The 3,979-nt window shown below is 40.1% G+C and overlaps 1 annotated feature.

Moving 5' to 3' along the window:
- Positions 2,411 to 3,249: an enhancer, noted in NCBI's record as "OCT4-NANOG-H3K4me1 hESC enhancer chr2:119013701-119014539 (GRCh37/hg19 assembly coordinates)". NCBI's record gives its function as "activates a minimal SCP1, AML or CMV promoter by ChIP-STARR-seq in naive H9 embryonic stem cells {active_cell/tissue: H9 hESC(naive)}" and the evidence as "EXISTENCE:reporter gene assay evidence [ECO:0000049][PMID:30033119]".

Here is a 3,979-nt window from a genome sequence, read left to right as displayed (position 1 = left end):
TACTTAGAAATAAAATCAATTAAAAAATGCAAGACCTTTAGACTAAAAACGATTTCTTTTACTGCTGAAAGAAATAAAAGAAGAGTATACTATGTTCATGGATTGGACATCTCAATAAATGTTAATGTTTTCATTCTCCCTGAATTGATCTATAATGCAAAATGCAAATCAAAATCCCAGCAGGCTTCTTTTTAGAAATGGTTAAGCTGACTCTAAAGTTTGTACAAAAATATGAAGGAGCTAGAAATGCCAAAAAAATTTTGAAAAAAAGACAAGCATTCTATTTTTAATGGACAAAATATTTAAACAGATACTTCCAAAGAAGATACAGAAATGTCCAACAAGTGCATAAAAAGATAATCAACGTCATTAGCCATAAGGGAAAAGAAAATTAAAATCATAATTAGACACCATTTCTCATTCACTGGAATGACTAGAAGTAAAAAAGCAGATAAAAGACAAAAGTAATCTGTAGTGACAGAAAGCAAAATAGTAATTTTAAAGCACTAGGGGTGAGAAGATTGACTGTAAAGGGGCATATAACAACTTTTGGGATGATGACAATGCTCTATACCCTGATTATGATGGGTAGTTACATGGGTGTACCCATCTGTGAAAACTCATCAAACTGTCCACTTAAAGGGATGCATTTTATTGTTTGTAAACTACACTGAATGGTTTAAAAAATGACCATACCAAGAGTTGAAGAGGATGTATGATAACTGAAACACTTCATGTGTTGCTGGTGGAAATGCAAAAGGGCATAATAACTTTGGAAAACCATTTAGTTTATTGTTTGGTTGTTTTTTATAAAGTTAAACACAGACTTAACTCTCTGATCTAGCAATGCCATTCCCAAGTATTTTCCCACAAGAGTTGAAGATAAATGCCCTCAAAAATATTTACTCCAAATTAGAAACAATCCAAATGATTGTCAACAGCTGAATGGACACACAAATTGTAATATATTCATTCAATGGGATACTTCTCAGCACTAAAAATGTGCAAACAGCAAATACACAGAATCATGATTTAATCTCACAATATTGAGCGAAAGAAGCCAAAAACAAAAGAGTGCATATTATATGATTCCATTTATGTAAAGTTTTAGAACCGGCCAAATATTTATGGTGATAAAAATCAGATTAGTGAATGCCTTAGGCAGGAGCAAAGGATAATTAGATGCAAATGAGCAGGAAAATTCCCAGGGTGATAGGGAATACTCTATATCTTGATTGGAGTGGTGATTATACAGGTATCTTCATTTGTCAAAACTATACATATAAAAGGTGTATGTTATTGTGTGTGAGGTATACCTCAAAGACAGTTGAATAAAAATATATTGAAAAGTAGAAAAAATACTATTATTTGAAAGTATTAAAAAGAGATCTATAGGCAAATAATTAAAAATAATATAAAATATTTTCAAGTTGACTGGATATTAGATCAGTTTTCTAAAGTTAATTTCATTTCTCTACATCAGCAAAAAATAACTAAAAAATATAGGGTTTTTTTTAGAAGACCTTTTACAATAACAATGAGACCTTTAAAGTGCCTGAGATTTATCTTAACCGAAGATGTGCAAGACCTACACACAGAAAATTATCAAACTTCACAGCAAGGAGACATTAAAGAAGATGTAAATAAATGGAGAGCGATTTCATGCTTGTGAAAAGGAAGACTTAACACTGTGAAAATGTCAAATCTTCCCCAAGTGATCAATAATTTAATGTAATTCCAATCAAATTCCCAACAGGTTTTTTTTTATGGAACACGACAAGGTGATTCTAAAATAAAAGCACACTAGGACAAAAACAAGAATAAGAGGGAGGAGGTACTTACTGTAATAAATATCAAAGCGTGATATAAAGCCAGGGTAATCAAGATAGCATGGTATTGGAAGAGGACAGACTAACTGACCAAAGGGATAGAAAAGAGAGCCCTGTAAGATCTAGCATGGAAAGGCGGGAATGGAGGGATCATTCAATGATTGGAACTTGGCAATGTGGTCATCCTTACTATGAGGAAACAAATTGAATCCCTATCCATACCACTCACAAAAATTGCCCTGAGATGATCTACAGACTTAAATGACAAAATAAATGATTTAAAAGTTTTAGATAGGTGAATATCCTCTTGAACTTGGGAGTAGAGGAAGGATTTCTTAGACAAGACACAGAAATTATAAACTTCAAAAGGAAACAAATAACTTTGACCACATTCAAAGAAAACATCTCAATTCATCAGCCCAACCTGCTGATGCCTTGATCGCTGACTTCCACCCTCCAGGGCTGTGAGAAAATAAATGTTGGTTGTCGAAGCTGTCCACTCTGTGGTATTTATTATGGCATCCTGAGCTGATTAGGACTGGAATCATTGTGAATTTATAGTGGGGCATCCTTGTCCCATCCCACCTCAACTGCTGGATGGAATCCAGCTCACGTGAATACTCTTACCTTCTCATCTTTAGCCTCTCATTCCCTGAGTGCCTCCATTTGCTTGGTCTCAGTGCTCTCTCCTCACCTTCCGTCACCTGCAAGACACACAATATTCAGGCGTTAGACCTGCCTCCACTTTCTCTCTTGAACTGGGCTGGCTCCCTGGATGGCTTCATCACAGAGCCCTGCCCCCAGGGTCAGTCTTGCACCAGCCTTGCTCACCTCCCACTGTGGGGCTGTAGACCCACCATTGCTTACCCTACTATCCAACACACTAATGCTGCCCCTAAAGAGGAATTAAAGCCTGGTAGAGAGGAAAGGGCCAAGAGGAAAAGACCAGATAAGGTGCTGATTATCTCCCCTGACAAGTGAGTATCTCCCATTTTCCCAAGGCCAGATTTATGCCAAACCTTTGTTCTCCACCTGCAGCCATGTGTTTACCCACCAGAGTAGAGAAAAATGTGGTGTGGCAGTCACAGCCTTGCCTTATGCCTGGAAAATAAGCACCTTTCCAATGGCAGCTTGCCTGGTTCCCTGTGCCCATTGGGTTTAAAGGATTAGAGGGTTCTGACACCCCTGTCCTCTGAGCTGAACTCTCCACAAATGACAATTTCAGCACAAAGCAGGGAGAAAGCAGTGATGAGAGAGAGGAAAGCAATGGGTTGCCTCTGTATTCTCTTGATCTGAATTGCTTTTCAGGCCCTCATGCTGAGATTACTCTTTTGTTTTTGAGCCTTTGGGTTTGAATGGAGCTCTCTCTCTCAAATCTCACCAGGGACTGGAGAGGGAAGAATGAAGCAAACGTCAATGGCAGGGTTGATAATCCTACAACCATTGACTTGAAGAGCAGGCCAACAGGACCACGGCTGCCTAATCTGCTGTGTCAATGCATATTATTAGCAGCCCTTAATTGATGGATTCTTGACAGAGAGAGCAGGGTGAGTGCTGAGAGTCTGCAGCATGTGGGCCTATTTGAGGAGACTTAGTCTGCAAACGTTAGACAGGGTGGAATGTGAGGGCTCCTCCAAAGCCCTTATCTGGCATTGGGTCAGGCCCAGGAGAACCAGCCTAAGGAGGACGAGCCCCAGCCCCGGCTTTCTCCCTTCCCAATTGGTCCAGGCCTTTCAAGGGCAAGCATCTGCAGGCTCCTCCCAGGTCTGTCCTCAGGCTTGCTGCCCAGGCTGCAGCCTAAACTGTGGCTCACAGGGTTTTATGTCTGAAATTATACCATAGCTGGGGGGAGTGAGAGGAGGAGGGGGTGGTGGAGAGAAAATCTTACCACTGAGATAATAATTACTAATTGTTAATTAATCTGCTAAGGCCTAGGAGCTGGTCCCCAGCTAAGGGCCAAGAGCAGTGGCCTACCTGCTGGGTAAGAACAGCCCTCCACATTTACATGGCCCGGCTGTGGGAACCTGGGAAGACCAAGAAAGAGGAGGAGGCACATTCTAAAGGAAGAGACACAGCAAAGAGCCCCACTTAGCGACAGACAGGAGAATATGCCTCAGAGAACCTCTGGGTGCCAGTCACAGATGGAAACT

Source organism: Homo sapiens, chromosome 2, assembly GCF_000001405.40.
Source record: "Homo sapiens chromosome 2, GRCh38.p14 Primary Assembly".
Lineage (NCBI taxonomy): Eukaryota > Metazoa > Chordata > Mammalia > Primates > Hominidae > Homo > Homo sapiens.
The sequence above is the reverse complement of the archived record's forward strand: the minus strand, read 5'-3'. Positions and strand labels throughout refer to the sequence as shown.